The sequence below is a fragment of the Homo sapiens genome, chromosome 2, assembly GCF_000001405.40.
Source record: "Homo sapiens chromosome 2, GRCh38.p14 Primary Assembly".
Classification (NCBI taxonomy): domain Eukaryota; kingdom Metazoa; phylum Chordata; class Mammalia; order Primates; family Hominidae; genus Homo; species Homo sapiens.
In genome coordinates this window covers 117,973,136-118,000,322 of record NC_000002.12, presented here as the reverse complement: position 1 = coordinate 118,000,322, position 27,187 = coordinate 117,973,136, and the positions used below count along the sequence as shown (strand labels likewise).

The 27,187-nt window shown below is 41.8% G+C and overlaps 1 protein-coding gene across 6 annotated transcripts in view; it reads left to right on the top strand.

Annotated features, from left to right (window-relative positions):
• CCDC93 (CCC complex scaffolding subunit CCDC93) overlaps positions 1–27,187 on the top strand; it is a 98,590-nt gene that overhangs the window by 13,748 nt on the left and 57,655 nt on the right. For all 6 annotated transcript variants that reach the window (XM_011511359.2, NM_019044.5, XM_011511361.1 and 3 more), the window contains 7 exons: positions 3,961–4,059; positions 4,821–4,877; positions 14,254–14,354; positions 22,293–22,329; positions 25,043–25,135; positions 25,423–25,473; positions 26,329–26,415. In XM_011511359.2, the coding sequence (XP_011509661.2) occupies positions 3,961–4,059; positions 4,821–4,877; positions 14,254–14,354; positions 22,293–22,329; positions 25,043–25,135; positions 25,423–25,473; positions 26,329–26,415 (525 nt within the window). The remainder of the gene's footprint in view (positions 1–3,960; positions 4,060–4,820; positions 4,878–14,253; positions 14,355–22,292; positions 22,330–25,042; positions 25,136–25,422; positions 25,474–26,328; positions 26,416–27,187) is intronic.

Sequence of the window (27,187 nt, the reverse complement as noted above, 5' to 3'; positions counted from 1 at the left end):
GTTCCACCAAACCTCTTCAAGAAAGCCTTCCCTCATCCGCTAATCCACAGCATGTTCCTTTATGGTATGCACTCCTACGGCCACATTCCTTTCCTTCACCAGAATCTTACAGCAGTTCATAATCATGTGTATCCATGTGTGTGTGATTGTTTATCTGCTTCTCTCATTAGACTCTTAAGCTGCATGAGAGCAAGTCTGCATGGCTGTCTTGCTTATTGCTTTGTTTCCAGTACCTACCAGAACATCTTACAATTTGTAGATATTCAGTCCGTATGGCTAAATGCCTAAGGGAGAGACTTCTCTTTGCCTCCAGCTGTTTCCCAAACCCCTATGATTAAGTGGCTCGTGCTGTACAGCTCCCAAACAGCCGGCCCTCCATATTCGCAGCTCCACATCCATAAATTCAACAAACAATGCATCAAAAATGTTTGGGGGTGGGTGGGGGGAAACACAATAAAAAATAACAATACAACAATAAAAAGTAATATAAATTTAGCAAGCTGGAAAAAGAAAGTAATAAAAATTTAAAAATACAGTATAACATAACTATTTACATAGCATTTACGTTGTATTAGGTATTATAACCTTAGAGATGATTTAAAATATAGGGGAGGATGTGTTTAGGTTGTATGCAAATACTGTGCCATTTTATATCAGGGACTTGAGCATCTGTGGATTAATATCTAGCGGGTCCTGGAACCCATCCACCACAGATTCCTTGGGACAACTGCATTCTGTGCAGTTCTTCTCTTCCCCTCTAGGCATCTTAGAAAGAGGAGGAGCAAAGGGACTCAGGTGTGTTGCCCGCTGTGTGAACACTACTTCCCATCTGACTCTATTAGAGTTCTTTGAAGCGTTTATTATAATCCCTTACATTTGAGGAAAGTGAGAAATGTAATTTCCTTACATTTGGGAAAAATGAGACTGAGAGAAGGTAATTGATTTGCTTAAGGGCGGAGAGTGGACAAACAAAGGTTCCAGTCTAAACTCTGTCTCCAAGCCTGTGCTTTTTCCACTCCACCATTCATGCAGCTGCTGAGAAGGAAGCTACACAGCCCTTGAAGCTAGAAGTTCTCTAGTTCTGTGTTAAGATTTTGAAATATAGGGTCAAGAGTATGGACCCTGGAGACCTCCTGGGTTCAAGTTGGTCGCTTTCTAGCTGTGTGACCTTGGGTAAATAACTTTCCGTCTGTTAAATAGAAATAAATAATAGCACCTACCTGATAGGATGAGAATTAAGTTAGTTGTATGTCTAAAGCACTTAGTTGAAAGACTGACCATTTTAGTAAGTGCTCTCTAAGTGTTACATAGTTTGTTACTGTTATGTGTTGAGTCTTCCCCTCTGCTAGACTTCAAAGCCGAATTCCATGAAATTTGTAAATTCGAGGCCAAGACTTTACCTTAAAATTTATTTGTATGTTTGTTAGCCTTTCTGTCTTTCTTATGCAAGGGGACACTACCTGATCATTTTTATGAAAATAGGAAGTTGGGGCCCTGTGTTGATTATTATTGAAACCTCCAATATCATCAAACTGTGAAGTTGTTACCTTTCCCCCAAAACATGGATCTCTAGAGATTAGACCGTTTTTAACTAGGACTTTGGAGGCAAAAAAATCTAGTCAGGTTGTGAGAAGAATTGGAAGTGATCTTCTGCAGTCAGTTGGGTGTTTTGAAGGTCTGAATGTTCTCCATTGTGAGTGGAATGCTAGAGGGTCTGTCTGGATGGGAGGGCCCAGGCTAGTGGTTACAATTTCTTAATTTCATGGACCTGTAAAATTTTAAAGCAAAAATGGAGATTGGCCTAGGGTTGCCACCTGTAGTTTTCCAGGTAAGGACACTTTAAAAAATAACTACAATCTTGCTTTATCATTTCATAAAATAATGGCCATTTAATTCTCAAACTCAAAAAAAAGCAGTCCTTGAAATTAAATACATTTAACTATGATGAAACTCACCATGTGCCTGTAGCTTTTGCCTGTTTTTGTTTGTTTTGTTTTCCCCCCGGGCACTCGTGAAAGAATAATCACTGGCCAGCAGTTGTAAGCCATTGACCTACTTCTCTTATGTGATTCTAGAAGCCCATCATCCGTGTTCACACCATTTTAGCAAAGCTGTAGTAACTTTCTCTGGATGCAGCCAAGAAAAAAGCAGATCTAATTTCTGGCCCCTGGTAGTTCTAGATCATATCTTTTTCTCCTGGGTTGGACATGTGACTCCTGTGAAGGTCAATATTTTTCTTGAGTGCTAGGGAACCTGTGGCAGAGCTAGGCTGTCCAAGAGTTTCCCTCTATAGCCTTTCATGCTGGAAACTCCAAAACATCTGTTAGGACTCAACAAGCTTTCCCTTCATAATGGGATCATGCTCTCCAGGATCCAGCCAGGCTGTAACTCAGGGTAGATCTGGGATTAATGGGAGCAGCTCTGAAAGGGAAGCAGATGTGAAAAGCCAGAAACTGGGTCTCCCAATTCAAAAGAAAGCAGGGCTGAATTGAGTTGAGCAATGAGCCAACTGCCTTAGTTGGCCCTTAGTTGTCCTGGACCACTTAGTTTTACTGGGATGGAGTACAGGTGAGGGACTACAATCGTTCTCAATACTCTCTGATCTTCTGTCTCTGCTTCTGGATTTTAGTCTTTGCCTGAGGTCACTGTTTGGGGGTGAAGTGGTAGAAATATATAGAAGATACTGACAGCAAGGAATATTCCTCAGAGTTATTTGCTCTATTCTGAGCAGCTATTTCCTAAACATGTGCTTTACTTGAGCTGGCTGCGCTTTGTGAACAAACATCTGCGGGAACACCGTGCAGCACAGTGTTATGTGCCATGTGCCTGCTTTCCTAGGTAGCTAACCCTCACCAAGTGTGATATGCTGTTGGCGAAACACAGCTACTATCCCAAAACTGCTTTTGAGATGCAGTAGCTTTCTCTGGAGAGGGAGTGGCACCCCTTCTGTGATGTTCTTCAGTAATAAAGGGAGTGAATGAAGAGCCGGGGAGGAGAAGCAAAGGTTCTTTTTACACTTTACACCCTTACCCTCAGAGCGGGTGGATCTTCTGCAGGTTTTTACCCTCAGGGCGGGTGGATCTTCTGCAGGTGGATCTTCTGCAGGGTGGTGTTTTAATGATAATAACTGGAGTTTTCAGTTGGGAGAAGTGAAGAGCAGCTGTTTCTGGGTATCAGCCTAACAAAGCTGGGAAACATTTCATGAAACCATTTGTCCAGTCTTCGGTGTAGAATAGTCTCTTGAGTTGTGACTCCCAGCTTTGCAGCTGGCTAGCTATGGATCCATGAGTAAGTTATATAGTCTCCCGGCACTTCAGGTTCAGTAAAACTCAGCCAGTACCATCCGACATTGTGAGGATTAAGAGAGAATGTTATGAATGTCAGGATAAACCAGTGCCTTCAACTGCGTACTCAGTATGCACCATTGTCAAATCTGAGTATTTTGGACATTTTTTCACTTGTCAAATGGGGAGTTACACTAGCATTCTCTGTGGTTCTCTCCCTTTTCCCTGGTCTGTCGTGTAAGGAGCACAAGAAAAAGAGATTTACATGAAGATCTGCCAGTAGGACCAGGAAGTTGGGAGATAGCTCTGTTTGTTTTGTGCTTCAGGTGTTTACAAATCACTCTACTACTTGTGATTTCATTTACTCCCATGTTAGCTCTGTGAGGTGAAGGGAACTGATATACTTTTACAGAAAGGAAAACTGAGGCTCAAGGATGTGAAGTAAGGCTTTAAAGCTCCTGCACGGCTACTCAGCACTAGGTCCCATTGGATCTTAACATCTTGGATACCCAGCTGGTTGCTTTTCCTATAGAACAGCATGTGTTGATAGCTTCTTATCACCTAGTCAGTTCAACTATGCTGATTTGAGTTCATGAGTTGGGCCATGTCTGAACTGGCCTTCACTTCAGTGGGATGTTGTCCTTAGCAACTCTTGTCTTTTCACTTTCTTCCCCAGTGGCTGGTGAAACGAGCTATAGAAACAAAAGAAGAGATGGGTGACTATATCCGCTCCTACTCTGTATCCCAGTTCCAGAAGACTTACAGTCTCCCTGAGGTCAGTATTGTGATTTTATTTTCTTGTCCCACTGAGAAACAGAGTGCACACTTAAGAGACTCTCTAGCAAGGAGCAGAGTAAGCTCAGGCTCCCCTACATTCTCAGCCCCACTTGGCATCATTAGTGCTTCTTTACATAGCCACTGAGTGCAAAGCTCTATAATTTTGTCATCTTCTCTGAATTTTAGTGTTTGATCTAGAGCTTTTATTAACTTACAAGAATAATAGTTGATTTTTGTATTAAGTTTTTTGAGAGGCCACTTGCCCAGAACATCCTATAGTAACAATTTAATAATAATAATAATAATATAATTAAAAACAATAATAGCTAATAGCCATCATGTATTTACTACATGCTAGTCTCAGCACATCTTATGGCTTTTATTCTTTAATCCTTACTGCAACCTGAGATGGGCGTTTTTATCTCTGTTTCATAGACAGAGAAACTGAGGCTTAGAGGTTAAGTAACTTACCTGAGGTTTCAGTGCTTAAGAGGATTTGAAATGAGAACTCTCGTCTTAAGCACTATTCCTTATGACCCCCTTTTTCTTACTGGCTGTGTAGGGATCTATGTTGGAGCCATCTGCAGGGTTTGTAGCCTTTTCCCATGGAGAATATATTACAATTTGTTCGAAAATTGAGACTTCGTCAGGCAAAGTAGTGATGAGATGAGAAGTCAATTTATAAGACATATCTGAGTGGTCCACTTGAGTTTTAATTTTCCCTTGGGATTTGTTTAATCGCTCTGTTTTGTCTTGTAGGATGATGACTTCATAAAGAGAAAAGAAAAGGCCATCAAGACAGTTGTGGACCTCTCAGTAAGTCCCCTGGCCGTATTCTTCTGTCAGAGTCCTGCGTAGCCTCAGATAGCCCTTTGTTAAATCACAAAAGCGCTGCTCCTGAGGCTTCCATCTACGGGGATCGCTTAGGAGCTAGACTCAGATGGCTGTGTGAGGGAAGCCCCGCCTGCTTTACTGCTCAGGGCCAGGACACCAGTATGCACAGGGAGAACCTGCCACACTACTGTTCTGTCCCCTCACTTCCACTTTTAAGGGAGGAATAGCCAAACACAGAGCCCTTCCTAGTTTATCCCAATGGCAGGTATAAACTTTGAATAGCTCTGAAGAGCAGATGATGAATGGGGATGATAACTTGAGGTTTCTGTCCCCCACCCCCTTGATGGCTTTGCATAGACAGAGTAGCCTCTGAGCTGTGTGCGGGAAGCTCTGGGATGGCGTTTGTCCCCATTCACAGTACGTCTTAATCACAATGAGTCTGCACATGTGTCCCAACTTCGCCAGCACAAGGGTTAGTGGAACCTTTGACCCTTTATAAAACACTCTGGGCCAGAGCTGTGGAACCTTGTTAGCTGTACCCTCCACCCCCAGCCTTCCTACCTGAGCTGAAGGGAATGAAGCCTAGGTGCCTGTGTGCACAGTCTCTCTCTCCTGAAAATAATGTGTTGTGTTGTTTTGCATGCTTTTTACTTCATCTAAATTATGTCATACATCTAGTTGGTTTTCATAGTTGCATAGTTTCTTGTATTAATATGCCACCCAAATGAAATATCAGATGTACTTCTTATACAGATGGCATGGGTTACATACCTTGTGTCATTGTAAAGATTGGCATTGCCTGGTGTTTGTGGCTTTGTGAACTGCCTACAGAGTCTTTCCAGAAAAAGAATTCCAAACTGGCTTATCTTAAAAATAAATGTGTGGTCTACCAAGGTGATTACTCTGAAAAGAACAATCATTTGGTAATGAAAGACATGGAAATCTCCTATGAAACAAAAAATCTTGATCACTTTATGGTTGTAATTTGTTTTTTTTCTCAATTCCATTTTGGAAATGTTAGAGGTGGAAAACCTTTGGGAAGGTGACACTCAAAAGCCAGATACTGTTTTCAGATTTGGTGGCAGTATTAAACAATAACAAGAAAAAATGATATGACCTCAGAGTAATTTTCTTTCCTGGTTGTGAAATAGGTGTTCAGTTTAGAGCATCCTCAAGTTTTTAAAAAGATTGATAGATGTAGGGGAATTAAATTAAAGTTGATTTTTCACCTTAATTTCACAACACGGAAGCAACCGCTTTTAATTTTTGGACATATTTCTTCCATGTTTTTATTGTGCATTTTTAAACTGAATTGGAATCATACTTTAAAGATAATTTTGTGGTTTTTTCACTTACCAATGTAGGGGCTTTTGTATGCTGTTAAAAGATTCCTGCTGGCTTGGCACAGTGGCTCACGCCTGTAATCCCAGCACACTGGAAGGCTGAGACGGGTGGATCACGAGGTCAGGAGTTCAAGACCAGCCTGGCCAACATGGTGAAACCCCATCTCTACAAAAAATACAAAATTTAGCTGGATGTGGTGGTACACCCCTGTAATCCTAGCTACTTGGGAGGCTGAGGCAGGAGAATTGCTTGAACCCAGAAGGCAGAGGTAGCAGTGAGCCAAGATCGTGCCATTGCACTCCAGACTGGGCGACAGAGCAAGACTCCATCTCAAAACAAAAACAAAAACAAAAACACAACAAAGATTCCTGCTAACTACATTTCTCATGACAAATAGTAACCAGTTAGTTGGATATGATAATTGCTTTCCCCTGTTTTAAATGTTACTTCATCTCTGGAATGATATGAAAACAAGGTGATAATCATGTTACCTCTGAGGCAGGAAATTGCTAGGCCAGCAGCAGGAGAGAAGGGGAAATTGTCTTTTTCCTATAATCTCTGTACTATTTGAATTTTATTCTAAGTCTGTGCATTACCTATTCAAAACAGTAAGTACACATTAAGGTGTTTTTTGTTTTTTTTTTTGGTAACAAAAGCCACATTCAAACATTAATTTTTTTTTTTTTTTTTGAGACGGAGTCTCGCTGTCTCCCAGGCTGAAGTGCAGTGGCGCTGTCTCGGCTCACTGCAACCTCTGCCTCCCGGGTTCACGCCATTCTCCTGCCTCAGCCTCCCGAGTAGCTGGGACTACAGGCGCCCGCCACCAGACCTGGCTCACTTTTTGTTTTTTTAGTAGAGATGGGGTTTCACCGTGTTAGCCAGGATGGTCTCGATCTCCTGACCTCGAGGTCCGCCCACCTCGGCCTCCCAAAGTGCTGGGATTACAGGCGTGAGCCACAGTGCCCGGCCCAAACATTAAAAATTTTTAATGCTTAATCGAATATCTTTATGTGTAAATCTCACTCTGAGCCCTGGGTAGAGAATGAGAAAATGGTACAGTTTTCGGCCATAGAGCAAAAGCCAGCATAGCTGTCAATCATCCTGGTAATGAAACTGAGCCTGGCATCTCTATGCCTATGGATTAGTTAAAGCCCCTAGAGGCACATTATTTTTTCTTCTCATTTTTAATGGAGGTTTTTTTTTTTAATCCACTTCTGCTTGGTAATGTGGTTGCAGAGAATTAAGGAATATGTGATAATGACAGATATTTACATAGTGCCCCAAACATTGTTCTGGGTGTTCATCTCTAACTCATCTAGTCCTCACAACAATCCCATGAAGTAGTAGTTTGTTGTTGTTGTTGCTTTTTAATAAATCAGGAAACTGAAACACAGGTAGGTTATATATCAGTTGCCCAGTGTCACAATGGTGATGGTAGAGGCAGGATTCAAACCCAGTCTTGTAACTGTGCTGCTGTGAGCCTCTAGATAAAATGGTGTTCGCAGCTGATGAGAAAATAGTATCAGAATAAAGGAAAACGTGTCCGGCCTGGTGGTTCATGCCCGTAATCCTAGCACTTTGGGAGGCCGAGGTGGGCAGATCGCTTGAGCCCAGGAGTTCGAGACCAGCCTGGCCAATATGGTGAAACCCCATCTCTACAAAAAATACTATAATTAGCTAGGCATGGTGGCATGTACCTGTAGTCTCAGCTCCTCAGGAGGCTAAGGTGGGAGGATCACCTGAGCCTGGGGAGGTTGAGGCTGCAGTGAGCTGTGATTATGCCACTATACTCCACCCTGGGTGGCAGAGTGAGACCCTGTCTCAAAACAATAAATAAAAAGGGGAATGGAAAAAAATTGTGAGTCCCTGGTTATAATTTGTATTGTTTAGTTTATTTCCTTTTTTATGAGTGAACTTAATCCTCAGTTGATTGGCAATACATTTTCAGCAGGAATGATAAAGAATCTTCATGGATGGCTAAAGGTTGCCTTTGGGTTTTTCTTTTCCTCATCTGCTTAAACACCCCTCACTTCCAGGAGCTGTCTGCGTAGGTTTCTTAGCGAGCTCTGTCACCATTAACTTTCCTCCCTCCCTTCTACCACTTCTGCAAGCCCTTCTTTAGCTGACTTGAAATGAGAGTCCCAAAAGGTCTCAGAAACTCTAGGGCTGTGGTGCATATCCCTGACCTATTCTTGTGAGTCAGTACAAAAAATTAAACAGCTCAAAACTTTAATTATTGTCATGCTCCTCAAGGAAAATCCCTCCTTTAATAAAGGAAAGGAAATCCTTAATTTTAAGTTGTGAATGGAAAATTAAGGAATAAAATAAGGTCAGACATGTAGATGCCTAGTTTTTAGACCCAGCGTTTTATAAAATAGGTGTGGAGCTGCTGTGTATTTATTAAGTGCTTACCAGGTGCTTGGCATCTCAATAGGCATTTAACAAGCATTAGCTCCTTTATCCCTCGTTAACACTCCAGGAGTTATATGTTATTATTTCCATTTTACAAGTCAGGAAATTGAAGCTTAGAAAGGTTGATAAATTCCCTGTGTAGCTGCAGAGCTAGGAAGAGGGAGTCAGATTTTGACATTACACCTGACTCTAACACAGCAGGTGTCGGCACTCCTCCTCTCTTCTGGCTTTTCACCTGCTCTCTGCTTTCCCACATATTCCTAGCACCAGTTTTGCAGTACTATTACTGACTTACTTCAGGGCCCTGGGATATTGCTTCTCTGGGTCCCAGAGACTCAAATGCCTACAGAGTGGTTGGGTCCTCTCCTACCACCTCTTCATTTCCTTACGAGAACATTGGCTGATTTCTCATCTGAAGACCTGTTGCCCAGCCAAAGAATGGATGCCAGGTGGGAGCTGTCCTGTTGTTATCTTTTTGATCAGCATGATGCCTTTGTGTCTCAACCAACAGGCTTTTACTTATTCTTGTTTAGACATAACATAAAAGTATTTAAATATTGAATCTTTAGCTTATTGTCTTTAGCCATCCTTAGAAGACTGTTTGAATTTTTTGCATTCATCTTTGGTTATGTGGCCCATTCATTTTTTTGGTGCATGATTTTTTGTTTTCAAAGTTTTTTTTTTCTTTTGTACTAATGCTGTTGTAATAAGAATGAAAAATTAGGAAATGGAGAAAAACAAAAACTAAATCACCCATGATACCACGAGCCAGGGATAACCACTGATACTGCAAGCAGGAAATAAAGAGTTGTGAATATCAGTATGGAGAATCAGAGATTGCAAAAAAAAAATGGCATTGTACTATATATTCTGTTTTGTTGCTTGCTCATTTGTTGCTTGCTCATTTTGCTCAGTAGTATATTGAGGATATCTTTCCATGCCAATAAAGATACCTCCATAGCATTTTTAGTGGCTGTAGATTATTAATTGTGTGGAACTAGTTCAACTATAGTTTGTATCTCTGTTTTTTTTTTTTTTCTTCACTTGGCCATTATGTAGGACATCCTCATAGCTAAATTTATTCTTTTATTTCTAATTATTTACTTAGGATTTATTCCATGAAGTGGAATTGGTCAAGATTATACCTAAGGCTTTTAATACTTCTTGCCAGATTGCCAGGCAGAAAGGCCGCTGTGAACTTTATCATCCGAGCTTATGATGGGCGTGTTCTGTTTTTGTCTTGGCTTTATTTTTCTTCCTTCAGGAGATTATTCCCAGTACCTGCTTTCTTCTTTGAAGTGCATTACTTTCTTCTCCCTATCTCCTTTGCACAGAATAGCTGGCTGCTTTGTAGAAGGCCTGCCCAACAGGAGGTGGTATTTTCAAAGGACATAAGGAGTGGAAACTACCACCTTCCACTTTCACATCATAATCATAATCAGCTCCTCTGTCTCATGTACTGTGCTGTGACACAGCTTCCTCCTCTGAGATGTCAGCCCTCCATAGCCATGAAGTGTCTGTCCTGTGAAGTGAGGTCTTTTACTCCCTCTTAACCTTGAATAACAGGTGCCCACACAGTTTTATCCAGACCCAAAAGATACATTCATTTACTATTTGTCAGCATTTTTTTGGTAGTTTAGACTTTTGTATGAGAATAGAGGGGACAGAGAAAAGACTTCTTAGAGCTTCCAGACTAGTTGGAAAGAAGTGCACTGTGGAACTTACCGGATCATCTAAGAGACTGCCATTTAAAGTTACCAGTCCAGTGTGTTCTTCCATAGGGAATGCTGTGAGGAAGTCCTTTTCATTCAGCTTGTAAAATATAAATGTAGTGAACTAAGTAAAGCAATGTTAATAATAGTACACATCCATATGCATGTAAATATGTATATATCTTAGCCCTTACTATATGTCAGGTACTATTAAATATACCGATTAGTTTATTTTCGTAACAGCTCTGCTTATACCTAATATGCAGATGGAAAACCACAGAGGTTAAAGTAACTTGCCTCAAGTCAGAGAGGTATAGTAAGCAATGGAGCAAGCATTAAAACTCTAGCTTGTTTGACTCCATGTATTCATTCAGTAATATTAATTGAACACTTACTATATGCCAGACCATGTTCAAGGAGCTGAGGCAACAGTAGTGACATTCCAGCTAGTGAGGAGTTTGAGGACTGATCAAGAAGAACGACCTGACTGCAAGGTGGCAGTAGCATATATAAGCTTTCTTTGGGTGATGCTTTGACAGGTTTGCTTGCAGGGTAGAGGAGTCCCTTATACCATGAGACCATCCAGAAGCTTGCATGCAAGGGCCACATCCAGAGTAGGAGGAGAGGAAAGGAACTCTCCAAGATCATAGAGGAGGCTCATGTGTCTTGGTGATGTTGCTCAGCATCACACAGGGGGGAGTCTGTGGTCAGAGACCTATGAAGAGCCCCAGTGGCTTGAGGTCTACCTAGCCATAGGGTTTATCCTATCCGTGGTTGGAAAATGCCAACAGTTTTGAAGGGTTTGCAAAGTAGGCAGGCTCTAAATGACAAAAAGTCTGATTATTTAGGCTATGTATAAAACATTTTGATATGTAAAAATTTGAGTTTGTGCTGGTCAACTTTTGAGCCAATAGTTGTCAGTCTTCTGTGAAGAAGTAAACAACCCAGGAGCCATCTTTAGCTCATTTATATAACCCTCAGTGATCTTATTCTTACCCACCAAGTCATACTGTTTAGTGCAGACTCAAGGAGACCTGAGGTGGGGCTTGTGCCATACTTCAAAGAGCAGAAGATGTATACTTACATAGCAGAGCTCATGTAAAAGAAAATGGAAGAACAGGGGTGAGGGGTGTCACTGGAGGAAATTCTACAGAAATGATTGCCATCCATCCATCTTTCATCATTTCTTTCAGTCAATACCCAGGCACTTCATTTTTGTTATTTTATTAATGTGAGAATTTTTAAGAAGCACTTATTTGTCCCATTTATAGTAACTTTTTCTTATGAGATCTTTCAGGACATTGCACTTGGTGGTGAAAACATCTATGGGGTCCCTTTAGGTGAAAGGCAGAATTACTGACGGGACACATAGGCTAAGTAAGATGGATCTGTTGGAGTTGGGTTTGGGCTGCAAAGATGAACTGTTAAGGTCAATGGAAAGTATCGCTTCCTGTTGAGTTGGGCATGGGCTGGCCCACAGGAGCTTTTGAGTGTAGAATGCCAGATTGGCGGTGGCTGTTTCACTGCCTGCTCCATTATTTCAATAAAAAAGTTGTCTATGGTAATTGTGAGGGAAGCGATCAGGGATTTGCTGCAGACACTGCCATGGTACTGTGCTGTTCTACCTCCCTTCCCTGCATTGAGGAATGTGAACTTAGAGTAATTACTCTGACAGGTGAACCTGACTTGTAACCCAGACAGGCAAAGTAGAGCTCTGACTCTCACAGTGTAAGAGTTCTCTGCTTTACAAAAGGGTCACCTTAATATTTAACCCTGTGTGTGTGCCTTTTAGCATCTGCAAAAAAATAAAATAAAATAAATACATATATCATATATATATATATCTGATATATATATATGTATCAGAACCTAGATAAAGGGTGATGAAAGTACAGGTATGAGACATTTTGCAGAGTGCTTAAGTGTCTCAGTTCTGGAGTCATCCTGTTTTTATCGCTTACTGCCTTTTTCACCATCAGCAAGTTTTTTAACCTCTTTGTGCCTAAGTTCGTCTATAGAAAGATAACAAGGATAACTACACTCAGATGTGGGGATCAAATGGACAGCACAGATACAGCAGAATGTGCCTGGCACATACCTACTATTCAATAAGTGATAACTATTACAATTGCTACCACTATTAATGACAGAAGGATAAATTGATTTTATATTCCTTTTTAAGAGCACATCATGGAAAGCATGGTAGATTTTTTATTAATCTCAGACTACATTTTTTAAGGAATTATGTTACCAAGCCAGTATCTTTACAGGATTAAAATAATACAAAGGAAGAGACCCTGGGAGCATCCTTCAAGATCTGTTAGTACAACTTCATTTTATAGATACAGAAACTGAGGCCCATTGAGGGGAACTGCCTTTCTCAAGGTCATGCAGCTGATTAGTGGCAGAGATAGGGCTAGACATCAGCATTCTTGACCCTGTTGCTTTAAAGGGTGACTTAGCAATAGCTCTTTATAGTTGGCCTGTAAACCCCTGATATTTAGGTTGCATTACTTAGCTTCAGATTGTAGAATGAGTCTTGTGAGAGGGCTAGCTGAAATGGCTGGTGGGTGGCTAGAGTGGCAGCCTGGGGCAAGGTAGTGTCAGGGACAAGCCTTGAAATGAGAAACCAGGTTACCTAGGGCTAGGCCGCGTAGTGTCCCAGGGATCTTGGACAAATTATTCAGTGTCTGCTTCCTCAATAGTAAAGTAAGGTTGATGGTATGTGCCCTGTCTCTACTTCACAGTGTGGTTTATAAAGTGTAAAAGAAAGGTGAGATATATATGAAGATTTATACTTTAACATGTAAGGAATAATTCACAAAAGCCAACATTGTCATTGTTTGGCGGAATAAAAGGTCCTTTTAGCTGTTGGTGTCAGTATGCTCTTGTTTTGGAGTCAATCCTTTTTTTTTTTTTTTTTTTAATAGAAGAATCCAATTTCTTGCCTTGGGTTACTGACTCTTTCAATTGTAACTAAGTACAATAGCAGTTAAGCTCAAGCTGTAATAGTAGAGCTCAGTGGAAGCTAAACCAGGCACAGTAACTGACACCATGTAGGTTGATTATATTTTGCATCTCCCTGCAAGTCTGTTTTATGTTATTTATAGCTTCCTATTCGTGTAGACACCAGCAGTAAACTGGGGAATATTTGTGGCAGGAATTTCTAAGAACAACCTTTAGCATCATCTCAGGCCCTGATCCATTTCCTTTTCCACAAAATTGTTTGAGATTATATCGTATGTGTTACAGAAAGAATGTTTTTCTGTATGCTCGAAACTGTATACTAAAGTAAAATAATAAAGTTAACCAGAATTATCCATGGGGAACAATTCCAATTAAAATAAAATGCCAGTATCTGGTAAAACCTGGTAGTAATGCTTTTTGTGGTGATATCCAGGTAATGATTAGATGCAGTAAACCCGGGTAGTAGGGAAGAAGAGAGATGTGGGGACAAGCAGCCCGAATACCTTGCTGGCATAGCAGCTGCCTACCTGCACCCGGAGACCTGAGCAGATATTACTAGGGTATTATTTGACAGCCAGCTTAGCAGTCAAGAAGGACATTGATTTGGGGTAGCATGGCAGACCACTTCATTGGGGCTGAAGACCTGCATTTATTGATCACTTACTACATGCCACGTATTTCGTTTAGGATATATATGTGTGCAAGTGTATAATTTTAAAATATACCCCACGGTAGAGGCAGAGCTGTTGGCAGTGAGCCGAGATCGCGCCACTGCATTCCAGCCTGAGCGACAGAGCGAGACTCTGTCTCAAAAAAAAAAAAAAAAAAAAAAGAGAATATACCCCATGGCTGGAGGCATCCAGCAGCCAATTCAGGAGGAGAGCCTTCTCACACTCAGTAACTTGGCTGTCTCATCCACTTAGGAAGTGTACAAGCCCCGTCGGAAATACAAACGCCACCAGGGAGCAGAGGAGCTACTTGATGAAGAATCTCGAATCCATGCTACACTTTTGGAATATGGCAGGTAATGAGTGGGACCCAGTCTAGGTGTCTCTTTTAAAAGAAAAGCTAATTTAAGTTGCTTCATTTGGATTAACTTGACTAGCTTCTACCCGATTGAGTTTCTGCCTTCAGCCATGAGATTTCCAACATCAGGGACTTTTCTCTGGTAATGAATTACCTGTTTCTGTGGGCATCCTTTGCAATTCCTCTCTGGAAATGTGCACCTGGCTCTGCCTTCCTTTGGGAGTTGGGGTGTTCCAGGCATTTACAGAGGCTGAGGTACTCTGTCCTGCATGCCCCTGTTTGTTAAAATCTTCAGGTAAATGAAAACAGTTTCAGTGATTTCACTTTAAGTGTTAGAATAATAATTTCAATTTCCTGTGAATATTGTCCTAACTAGGAAAATGAAGAACTTAGAAGTAGTTTTGTCACTTCTTAAAAACATCTCTAGTTTAAAAAAAAAAAATCTTATTTTATATCCTTAGTTTTTACTTTAAAAAAAAGTGCAAGGACATGCTTCTCCCCATTGAATTTTTTGCTTGTCACTGGGTATTAACCTTTTATGTCACGCATTCTCTTCTCAGGGTAACTGATTCCTTGATGTGAGTAAGTCTCCTTGTGCTTCCTTTGTGTTGGGAGAGGCTCCTGTGTGCTGCTCTGCCTCACAGCCCAACCCTTGTAGGGTGGCTGGAACTAACTGCATTGCCACTGGCGTTTCCCTAAGTGAGCATCTGATGGCTTTGCCTGCCCTCTAGGGTACCAGAGAGAACCAGCAGGAAATTAGGTTTAATTATTCTAGTTTCCAAATGGAATTGCATGCAATTGCTTATGTTTTTTTTTTTTTGTTTTGTTTTGTTTTTTCTTCCTAAGAATAAAAACTAGTCTGTTTCTAAGGAAATTGAAGTAGTTCTGGCCCTAGGCTGCGTGTGATGGCTGCCCCCACAGTTCACTAGTTGCTGCTGTGAATTGAATGCCTCCTCCAAGTCAGGCATCACCAGGACTAGCTATGTAGTGAAAATGCCAAGTAACTTGTTAGCAGTTATTAATGATGATTAATTATTAAGAATTTAAAGACAACAACAACAGCCAAGTGAGAACTCTTCTAAGCATGGGGCCCTGTGCTAGTGGACGGGTTGTGTGCTCAGGAAGCCAGCCCTGGGAATCATGACAGAGTCTGTCTAGCCATGCCCAGCTGTAAGTGAGCAGGTGAGGCTGCACAGCTCTGGGAGAGCCAGAGCTGGAGAGACAATCTCTGTGGGTGTCACGTGTCCCAGAATGAAGAAGTTCTTGGCAGAATGTAGTGGATTTTGTGAGTTTGTATTATTTATGCATCCATTTTTCCATCATCATGGAAAATAGGATTTTCCTGAGGGTGAAAAGGAGTTAGAAATTCAGTAAATTGCCCACCTCGCTGAGACCATGTTGACAGAATTCTAGATCAGTATTCTTGTTCTGAAATTCTCAGGTTCAAATGGGATCTTTTGTATATATGTTGTAGATAGTAGCTAGTATCACCATCTGAAGGCTGGGAAAGTTCAGAACCTCCCTGTCTGTCATCAGGAGTGATTGATGCAGTTTGAGGTGAGAATCTGGCTTGGCCTCTTTAGGAAAGGAAGCAAGACAGATTTTGCTTGACTCTTCTCAAACTCTGAGAGTGAGAAAGAGCAGTGTCTTGATACCAATCCTGGTTCCTGTTGGTATGGTCATGCTGACTTCTGCTAATTTCTACGGCTAGGGTGGGCATTTCCTGAAGGTTTTAGGTTTGGGGGTTTTTTTTGGGTGGGAGAGAGATGTTATTTTGTTTTTTTAGCTTTTTTGGCAAGGAGAGGGTAAGTTTGTGGCAGGTGGAGTAGTGGGTACTTAGGACATTCTGATAGTATATTTAGCTCATTCTCCTCTTTGAGACTAATAATGACAACATTCAGAAAGGTTAAAAAATGACTTTCTTAAGGTCATAAACTATAAAGAGGCTCAGATTGGCACTTCAACTAAGATACCTTGAACTTCAAAAGCATGTCATTATCATTGTCTGCAAATACTGTTTGAGCCTTCAGTGAGAGTATATTTTTAGGTTCTGAGTTTTAGGAAGACTGGGCATGTCTATTCTTTGGTCTGAAACTAAATAAGAAGAGAATGGTTATTAAAACTGACAGAGCAAATCAGATAAAATGTACAGCCCCAACAAGTGTGTGTTCTATTCCACCTCCCTGGGAAGGCTTCTCCCTTCCTTTCTGGCAGTCTGTTTCCTCTAGGTTCTGTTCAGCATTCTCCACTGCATGGAGATCTTTCCCATTAAATGAGGATTATATGACTATATATATATATATATATATATATATATATATATATATATATATATAATTTTGAGCAGTTTGTTCAATGTAGAAAACAGTAAATGTTAACCATTGGCTGCTGTCATCATTCTCCTTATTATAATCATCATTATTAGCAGCAACAGTTCAGTTTTCAAATGCCCTCAGATATGACCTTTTCCCCTTACAGTTCTCCTTGTCCTTGTGTGTTTATGTATGAGTGAAGAGGGGAAGCTTCCCCTTGGCCCTCTGAAGGTTCACTGAAAATGAACTGACAAAAGGCAGATTAACAGGAGAAAATGGCATACATAATTTATTGTGTGGGGGGAAAACCACAGAAGTGTGACTACCCAGTAACCCAGTGATGTCCAGATGCCTATATGTCCTTCTTCACAGGGGAAGGCAGATAGGGAAATACGCCAATTGGAGGGGTAGTAAATGATGTTTAGGGGAAATGAATCAGACCATGGTTAATAAATGACTTTCTGGAAATTGAATAGGATGGGAAACAGACCATGGTTTGGGTTCTAGGCGTGGTATTTAATTTTCAGTCTCTTGCTCTGTGGTAGATAATGAGATTTCAGGGAGTGGATGGAAGACACTTGTGTTTTCTTTAACGGGTCCAGTCTTTATATAGATAAGAGAAAAAACCCTGTTCTAACATGTGACCTTCAAGTGCCTTTAATTCAAGTTATTCAGCATATTAGGGTGCCATATTTGGGGGCAACAGCCCGTGGACTCCTTCACTTATTACCCTTCACACTAGCCCTCCCTCTAGCATGTGTATGGGAAGTCTGGCCTTTTCTCCCCTGCCCCTGTCAAACAAGGCTGGCCCCCTGCTGGCCCTGGGACTCACTTTGCTCCATCTTCCCTTTCCCTTTAACATTGCGGCATTCCTGACTTCCTCACGCACCCCCCCCCCCACTACACTATGGCATCACAGCTTTAGGAGTCCAGATCTCTCTTCCAGTGTTTCTATTTTCTACCTTATCTTACCTCTTGTCAGGGGGAAAGTATTTTGACTTCTAGAGCAAGAAGGTCTGAAATCAGTATTTCTTCCTTGGGGTTGAAGGTCACTCATCAGCGTTACACCCACAGTGCCCTTTGGCTTTTAGGTCCGCATTCCATCTCCTTCCCCCATTTTGACTCTCAGTTGCTTAAATAAAGGTGAATTATGAACCTTGTCAACTATGCTGAAGGCCTTAAGGACTGTTTATCTGTTAAAAACATAGTTTGGGTATATTTTTCTAAGTGTTAATGGTGTTAGGAAAACAAGACTTATAGTTTTGATTTTGGATGTAAACAAAATTGCACACCTATAATATTTCAGTTTTGTTATGGGTTCAGTCAATTTTGAGAGGCTAACTTAAGCACCTAACCGTGCTATGAAACTGCTACTCTGGGGAAATGCATTTTATGTGCCATATATTTGACTTGCAAGAGGAGGTTTGGAGCACAGCCACCAGAATGCTGGAGTTAGCCTATTCCTCAGTATTCAAAGCCTAATTTTGAGTTCTTGAAGTCATTCTAGGCAACTCAAAGTTAGGCCTTGAATACTAAGGAACAGGCTAACTCCAGCATTCTGTAGTTAGTAAATAAAACACGGCATACCTCTCCCAACCTGTTTGTGTCTCCTATGATGATAAGGCCTATGACATGCTCATAAAAGATATTTAGTAAGTTCTTGTCAAATGAATAAAGAACAAAGTTCACAGTCCTTGGTATTTAGGGCTTTTTATGTCCCTATTTTGTTTTATATTCCAAATAGATAACCATCTTAGTTTGGCCTGAGGTAATTGTTCTTGAAAGTTAGTTTGTTTTCTAGAATTGTGGTGTCCAGTATGGTAGCCACTATCCATATGTGGCTATTGAGCAATTGAAATGCGACTAGTGTGGCTCAGGAACAGAATTTTGATTTTAATTAAGTTAAATTTAAATTTTAAGATTTGTGCTTGATTTAGTTAATGGGAAATGTTTATCTTTGGAATAACTTGGTCATATGAACCTACTAACCTAGTAATTAAAAAATTGTATGTGTGTCCTTCTTTATATTTCTTTTGTACTGTGCTGTTCTAAATGTACATCCTTGATTTAAAGACTGGGTCCTATGACTAAGGTATGAAGAAGTGAACTGGATGATGGGAGGAGCTCTTTGGTGCTAACAGTGTAGGTAGCAAGAATCAGAGCTAAAGAAGAGGAATGCAGGAGCAAATGGAAGCATGCGGCACTGCGGATCAGAGCTGTCACTTGGGGGAAACGGGCAGGGCTGACAGGAAAAGAGGAAAGCGAGGCAGTAGTTAATAGGCAGTTGAGGACAGAGCTTTGTCATGGAAATCTCACTACTTTGTGACATGGATGAGGCCTTTAGAAAAATCATGTGGACTCTTCATTCATGCAGCAACCATTAATTGAGCACCTACTATGTGCCAGGCACTGAACTGCCAGGCAATGGGGATATTGAAGTGAATGAAGCTGTACATGAATATTTATAGTAGCACTGTAAATATGTTGCATAATATATTGCACAATTATGAATTTAGCAATTCATAATTGCTAAAAAGTAGAAACAACCCAGATGTCTGTCAGCTGATGAAACAAAATGTGGCTTACTCATATAATGGGATATTATTCAGCCATAAAATGGAATTAAGTAGTGATTCATGCTTCAACCTGGATGAACTTTGAAAATATTCTCATGAGTCAAAGAAGCCAGACACAAAGGCCACATTTTGAGTGATTTCATTTCTATGAAATCTCCAGAATTAGCAAATCCATAGAGACAGAAGGTAGATCAGTGGTAGCCAAGGGCTGGGAAGAGGGAAGAATTGTGATTAACTGCTAATAGTAACAGAGTTTCTTTTTGAGGTGATGGAGCTTTTCTTGATTTCGATAATAGCGATGGTTGCACAACATAGTGAATACACTAAAATCCAGTGAGCAATACACTTTGAAATGGTGAATTTTATATTATATGAATTATGTCAGTTTTTAAAATATTTTTTTAAAGTGAATGAAGCAAATTTCTTCCTCTCCAGAGGCTCAACAGAAAGGCTTAGCGGATTACTCATGAGGGATAATTATGTTCACCATACAATGAGTGCGTTGGCTGTCACAGAAGCTCACATCTGGAGGGCTTACTAAAAGAGTCTTCCCAGAGCCTCTGTCTTTAAGGAGGAGTAGATTCGTCCTAGGAATCAAGTCACTCAGATTTGGTTGTTCACTTCCTTATTTGGAAAATCCGTGAAGTCCCTGGGCCTTAGATAAAGGGCTTTATGTCTTCTGCCCTAAAAGTCTCCACAGACTAAAGGCATAAAAAAGGAAAGATGAATACTCAAGATGCAAGGACACTATAGGAGTGGGAAACTTGGGCAAGACCTTGTATTGTTCAGGGTTCCCTGGTTGAAAAAACAGTACCCTCCCACTAGTTTCAGCAGAAGGGATTGGTTACAGGGCTGGATGAGAACTAGGCTGAGCCAGGGTCAGCTCTCAAGCTTCACATTAGAACTGGAGCTCCAGGATACTGTTTCTGCCTCCAAAATCAGGAAGCTAGCTAGCAGCCTGTAGGATTGGGAAGCTGGTGCTATAGCGGCTTGACAAGGAAGGAAACCACGCTGCTTCTGTCAAATTAGGAAGCTCTGAAAAACCAAGAAGCCACTGTGATAGCTGCTAGCCCCAGAACCTGGCTGTTTCTACTGTGATCCACACCAACACAATGGATCCTTTATGCTTCCCTCTTTCCTCCTTTAACTGTTCCATATTGAAAACTCTAGCAAATGCATCTGATTGGTGGAACGTTAACAGTATTCAGAACCCTAGGTGCAAGGGAGTATGGAAAATAGTCTCTTTTCCAGCCTCAGCAGTACTAGAAGATGCAATAGATATTAAGCCAGTCCACAGAATCTGCCATAAGGTCCTTTACAGAATTCGTGTGGATAGCCAAAATTTAACCTTGGTCTGCTACACTTTGGACCTATAGGTTTATTTCTAAAGGGTGGACATACTGCCCAGCAGTGACTTTTTGGTTTCCCCAGTTATATGACAATCTGTTGCAAGGTCAGATGATACTTTTGGCTTCTTGATTTTTGCATTTTTTCACTTATGTTTAGTTTGTTTGTTCAGTGAATATTGGAAAAACCAGATATAAAGGTAGAATCTTTGCCCTCAGGAGAATGATACAGATAAGTAACAGTTGCATGTATTCACCATCTGGGAAGTGAGAGGAGCATGAACAGATGCAGGGATGGATAGGCCAGGCTGAGCACATGTGCATGGGGGATGCTTCACAGGGGAGGAGCTTTAGAGCTGAGGAGTGGAGGGTGAGTAGGGAAGCAGGGGCGAGAGGGGAACAGCTTAGTTTGTGCAGAGCTCTCTGTTCAGGTAGTAAGTGTAATAGGAACACAGAAGGTGCTGCTGGTGGTGAGGTGAAACACTTGTTAGGCTGAGCCATGGAAGAGAGGCTTTATAAGGCTCCTGAGGAGGTTCTGTTTTCTTCTGAGGGAAGAGGCCTGCCATTGATAAATGTGCATCAGGCCAATGCAGAAGTTGGACAAGGAATGGGCAGGAAGAGTGTGGGGAGTGAAGCTGGAGGACCAAGACCAGGTGAGCACACAACCCAGAAGTGAGGCACAGAGTAGCCTTAAACTTGTTCTTTATTTTCATTTATTTATTTTTGAGACAGAGTCTTGCTCTGTCACCCAGGCTGGAGTCCAGTGCTATGATCTCGGCTCACTGCAACCTCTGCCTCCTGGGTTCAAGTGATTCTGGTGCTTCAGCCTCCCAAGTAGCTGGGACTACAGGCGTGTGCCACTATGCCCAGCTGCTTTTTGTGTTTTTAGTAGAGACAGGGTTTCACCATGTTGGCCAGGCTAGTCTCAAATTCCTGACGTCAGGTGATAGGCCCGCCTCAGCCTCCCAAAGTGCTGGGATTACAGCACTTTGCAGGCGTGAGCCAGCGCGCCTGGCTCAATTTGTTCTTAAATGTTTGCATTAACTTTATTTTCTTACAAATCACTTAAAGGTGTATGAGGCTGGGTGGTTTGCATTTTGCTTTTTGTTGAGGGTTGAATGGATTTTGCATTGTTATACTTGCTTTTTAAAAAAACATAGATTAATTAGAGCCAGAAAATAAACTACTTGAAACTGAATTGTGTTTTTGTGTTTTTTTTAATTTAAGGTTGTGTGAAGTGAGTACACATTATTGGCATCATGCTTGGATTATGTTTGGGAATAAAAAGTGTGCTAGACTCTAAGTTATGGAAGTAGCCATTAAAGCGCATATTTGGCTTAAGGAAACACATTTACATTTGTTTATATAGATATTTTTAAGGCTTTTAGCTTAAACCGTGGCTCTGAAATGCAGTGGCTGATTCAAAAAGTCATAATTGCACTTAAGGAAAATGTTGCATTCCATACTGTCTGAGAGTTCCAATTTACATTATAGTATTTGCATAGCAAGTAGGGTGGCTGGCCCTTTATTAAAAAGACAGTGGAATATGTTTGTAATTTAGGCACTTGTAACGTTTTCTCAAGTCACCAAATGGCATAAATTCTCTTGATGTTTTTCATGTAAAAAGTCAACCAAAATGCATTTCACTGAATGTATTGTAATTTTTTAAGTAGTAATTAAACTCCTTTTTTGTGGCCTGCAGGAGATATGGATTTAGCCGCCAGAGCAAAATGGAGAAGGTAAGAAAAACATTGATAGTAAGAGAGAATACTTGAGAGATGGAAGTGACTCCCTTCACCTCTGACTAACACTCACAAGCCGGGCAGCAGCTTCTTGGGAAACCCAGGGATGTGTGAGCTGCCTTTGGCCCCTGCATCTCCGTCCTGGCTTTTCTAGCTAGCCACCTCTACAGACTGGGGAGCAAAGCAGCAGTCTCCTCCTGGGGCTGGAAATGAGGGGTGATTGAAAGTTGTGGCCTAGGGTCAGTCACTTGGGGTCTAGTGGCTCTGCAGTATGAAGGTGAAGTCCACTGCCAGGGCTCCCAGAGCACTCCTCATCTGAGGTGAGACTCTAAATAGATGTGAACAGGATGTTAGGTAGAGCACAGCTGTGAATTACAGGCCTGCCCTCTGCTGAAACAGCCAGTCATGGAAGAGCCAGGTAAATCAGGATGGCTTTTCTAACTTCACAAAGGATGCCCAAAGATTTCTGTTAATTTATGTGTTTATTAATGATGCTTCATTGTCAGCAGCAGGACAGGTACATAAATGTTATGGTGCTAAACTCTTTCTGTGTTCCAGGCTGTATGTTAAGGGCTCTGTATGTTTTCACTTACTGCCTTGAACAACTCTATGAGGAGGATGTTTATTTCTGCTTTTTAGGTCAGAAAGCTAACGCTCAGAGAGGCTCAGTGATTTTTCCAAGGTCACATAGCTCTAAAGTGAACTTAATAAGAATCTGAACCTAGAGGTCTGACATCAAACCTGTGCTCATAGCCACTGCCTTCTAAATAATAAAGTGTCAGCTATAGTGGTCAGTGGCCTCTTAAAAAGTTCAGTTATTGTCAGGAGATCGAGACCGTCCTGGCTAACACGGTGAAACCCCGTCTCTACTAAAAATACAAAAAAACATTCTCCGGGAGTGGTGGTGGGCGCCTGTAGTCCCAGCTACTCGGGAGGCTGAGGCAGGAGAATGGCGTGAACCCGGGAGGCGGAGCTTGCAGTGAGCCAAGATCGCGCCACTGCACTCCAGCCTGGGTGACAGTATGAGACTCCGTCTCAAAAAAAAAAAAAAAAAAAGATTGGTTATTAACCTCTTTTCATTCTCCACCTGATCCCCAGATTTCTTGAACAGGACACACTCCCCCTGCTGTTCCCCTGCCACCCACTCCATTGTACCCACTCCCCAGGCTCCCCCTCTGCTTCCTGTGTTGACTGTTGTCTCAGTCGCTGCAGGCACCAGCAGTGACTAGGAGCACTGTTCTAAAGCCAGACTAGCTGGTTTAGGATTCCAGCTCCTCTATTCGCTGAGTGACTCTGGATAATTTACTGATTCTTTGTACATTAGTTGACAGCATCTGTAAAATGGGGGCAGTCATTGTACCTATCTCACAGCATTATTGTGAAGATTGAAATGTAAAGGACTTAGAATGATCCAACACATAGTAAACATTTAATAAACATTATTATTAATATCAGTATTAGTTATTGGTACTTAGTCATGTACTGATTATGATGTCTTCTTTTTTAGTTTTCTCATTATTTTTTCCCCATTTGTGTTTTTTTAGTCAACTGAATAATGATTTCCTACAGAGCAGGGTGTTTTCTGGATTTGAGTATATCATGTTTTATCTGGTATATAATAAGGGTTTGATGTGTATATTTAATTTGATATGTAATTTAAGTCTGAAAAGATTGTCTTTATATATGACTGGGCAATTTGGTTATGATTGGAAAAATCATGAGATGTCCCTGAAATAGTATTCAAATTGTGCTTGTCCTGTCATTTTTATGTCAGACGGCACATTTGAATTAGCAGTCTCATCCCCTGTAGATGTGTCCAAGCAGTTAGGAGCTCGGAGTGTTCCCATGGGCAGTGATAGACTCGTTATAGAAAAGCATCCTAGAGTTGGGATGGTCCAAGAAGGGCATTTGAGACCAAACCTCTCTTTTGACCCTGGAAGTCCTTAACATGCAGGGATCAGAGGTAAGCCTGAGGTCACCCAGCTGGTGGATGGCAGGGATAGAATTAAAACCTATAGCCCATGATTGAGGAGGCAGCAGTTAATCCAGGGTGCCTTGAGTTTGACCTGGTTCATTTAGAGCCTGGGGCTGAGTCCAGAGCATGCTGCTTGATCATTAGATAAGGCAGTTTTCATCCTTCACACCAGTGGTATTCAAACTGTTTTGATTACTCTGAGCAGTAAACGTATAATTTTTCATCATGATTCAGTACACACACACTAATACCCCTGAAACAAAAGTTTCAGTAAGCAGTACCTAACCCCTCACTACAAAGCACTCTGGCATGTTCTGTTGTGTTAATTTATACAGATGCTAGTTGTACCTGCCAAATTACTTTTATGTCCCACTAATTGGTCTTAACAGGCAGTTTGAAGAAACACTCCTTTAGTAGTGATCTGCTCTTGAAAGTGTTAAAGTAGGGGGAAGCCCCAGTCAAAGTGCAAGGGTAAGTCAGGCAAATGTGTGTGGCCTGAATTTAATCAGTGAGCAGCTGGGACATGGAAACAGGCATTTGCCAGTTCCTGAAGCTTAACCTGCCCACCCTATACTCTAGTGGAGGTTCAGCCGTTTGGAGTATCCACTCTCTCAGGATGCTGCTGCTCTGCAGGTCTGTGTTTTTTTCACAGACTCATGCCTCTTGTCAGTATTGTCCTTTCTCTACTGAGTCTCCATCTCCCGTGCTCAGCTGTTTTCACATCTTCCCTTGCAGGCTGAGGACAAGAAAACGGCACTTCCAGCAGGGCTGTCAGCTACAGAAAAAGCTGATGCCCACGAGGAAGATGAGCTTCGAGCAGCTGAAGAGGTGTGTGGTCCATGTAGGCCCTCTGAGGTTTCTGTGTAAGTCATTTTGGGAGAAATCGTACTCTTATCCCTAGCGTTCCCAAATGGCCACCACCTCCCACAGCCAGCTGCTGTGAGCAGGTCTTTCACACCTTCCAGTTTCATTTTATCACCTGCCTTTGAGGCTCACATAAGACGAGATCAAGGAAGACACCCTTGGATATCACCGCAAAGATCCATGTAGGCATATTGCTTCTGTCTTACATGTTCAGAACCACTCACTGCTGCTCCCTTCCATTCCTCTTTCAGCAGCGTATTCAGTCGCTGATGACCAAGATGACCGCTATGGCAAATGAGGAGGTGAGTGGGAGTCGGGGAGGTGTGGGGATGGGGACTTGGCACCACCCTGCTCTGCTGGGGTCTTCTCCCAGAGAGCCCACCTTCTCCGGAGCTGCCTCTCACCAGCACACAGTACCTCCTCTTCCCCAGGGAGTTCCTTTTGTTAATCTGTTTTTAATGCCTAGTGCTGCCACCCATGGGAACCTCTAGGAGGGAGGCTTGAAGGACCCTTGTGAAAGCAGAATATTCCTGCTGGGAGGTTCACAGGGCCTCTGCGGAAGAGCTAGAGCTGACCCGTGAGTTATGCCTCATGCTGAGGCAGCTCTTGTCTTCTGCTTTCTTCCTACACTATCTAGGTAGGAAGCGGGATTTTGAGATTATAGTTGGTCTTTCCAGAGCTCAAAGCCTGTCCAGAAGGTATAGCCAATGTGAAAGGATCATTCTTTTTGAGGCCTGGGAAGACCTGTGGTAGTAAAGAGATATTTTAGAGTTCTGAGATTCTTTGTCCTTTCCCATGCTCTTCTCTATTCCCTGTGTCCTAGGCCTGCCAAATCCCCTGCAGGCTCTGTTTGGTGACTCTCAGGAGGTGAGACCTTGGGGTGGTACATAGAAGGGAAGGACCATTTTCCAGGGGTGCCCAGGGTCCGAGGAGGATTTAGCACCATCCGCTCAGTGACTCAGGAGGTAGCTGCGTGTTTGTCCTGAGGCTTCTTTTCTCCCTTTCTGTTGGTAATATGTGGCAAAGCCAAATTATTTCCCCTGGGAATATTATGTTTTACCATAATAGAGTGTTCAGACATAATAGAGTGTTCAGATTTTCCAGTGCTATGGAAGACAAGGCTTGGCCTTGAGAACATTCCCTCCATATACTTGCAGAGCCGTCTCACCGCAAGCTCCGTGGGCCAGATTGTGGGACTCTGCTCTGCTGAGATCAAGCAGATTGTGTCCGAGTATGCAGAGAAGGTAGGTGGGGGCCCAGCTGGAGTCTGTGCCCCAGATAATGCTCCATGGCTTTGTTCTCCCACTTCCTTACCCCACTACCCCAGCAGTGCCCCGTGTTCTCTTGTAACTCACCAGCCACGTTAGTCAGAAACACACTGGGCTTTACCATGCACAACCGGCTATCAGCACTTGCCCGTTAGTTAAATTAATTTTGTCCTGCAGTGCCCACTTTTCTGTAAATATAAAGAGAAAACCTGTCTCACAGAGCAGTTATCACATTTGATAAATTCATGCCTGAGGGTATGGGATGAGCATTTTTTCTTTTCTATCAGGCCTCTTATAACTTGGGCTCAGTTTGATGATTGGGCTAGGGAATGAAGCTTTGCCACTTAGGAGATAAACCCCATAACTCAGCCAAACCCGAGGCAGAATTTTTTGTTCTACTTTATTAAAAGAGTATAGAATGAAGGAAAGCCTGAAATCATATTTCAGAGTTTGCTTTTTTTTTTTTTTTCCATCCTAAGAAAAGGCAGGAAGACCTTGAATATTTCAGGGAGACGGTGATTAATCATTTTGCACATAACTGATTCTGGTGTGGCTGAGATGTGGTATCAGTAAAATCAGATTTACAGGACATTGTTGCACATCCCTCCTGCCCCAGCCCTGTCCCCCTAAAATGTTGATGTCTGTTGAAGCATCCAGCTTTGCTTTCCTTTTCTCAGAATCTTTTACTACAAATTAGCTCTGCCCTGACTCTCTGTGACATATTCTTCTGAAGTGATTGCACAGGTGA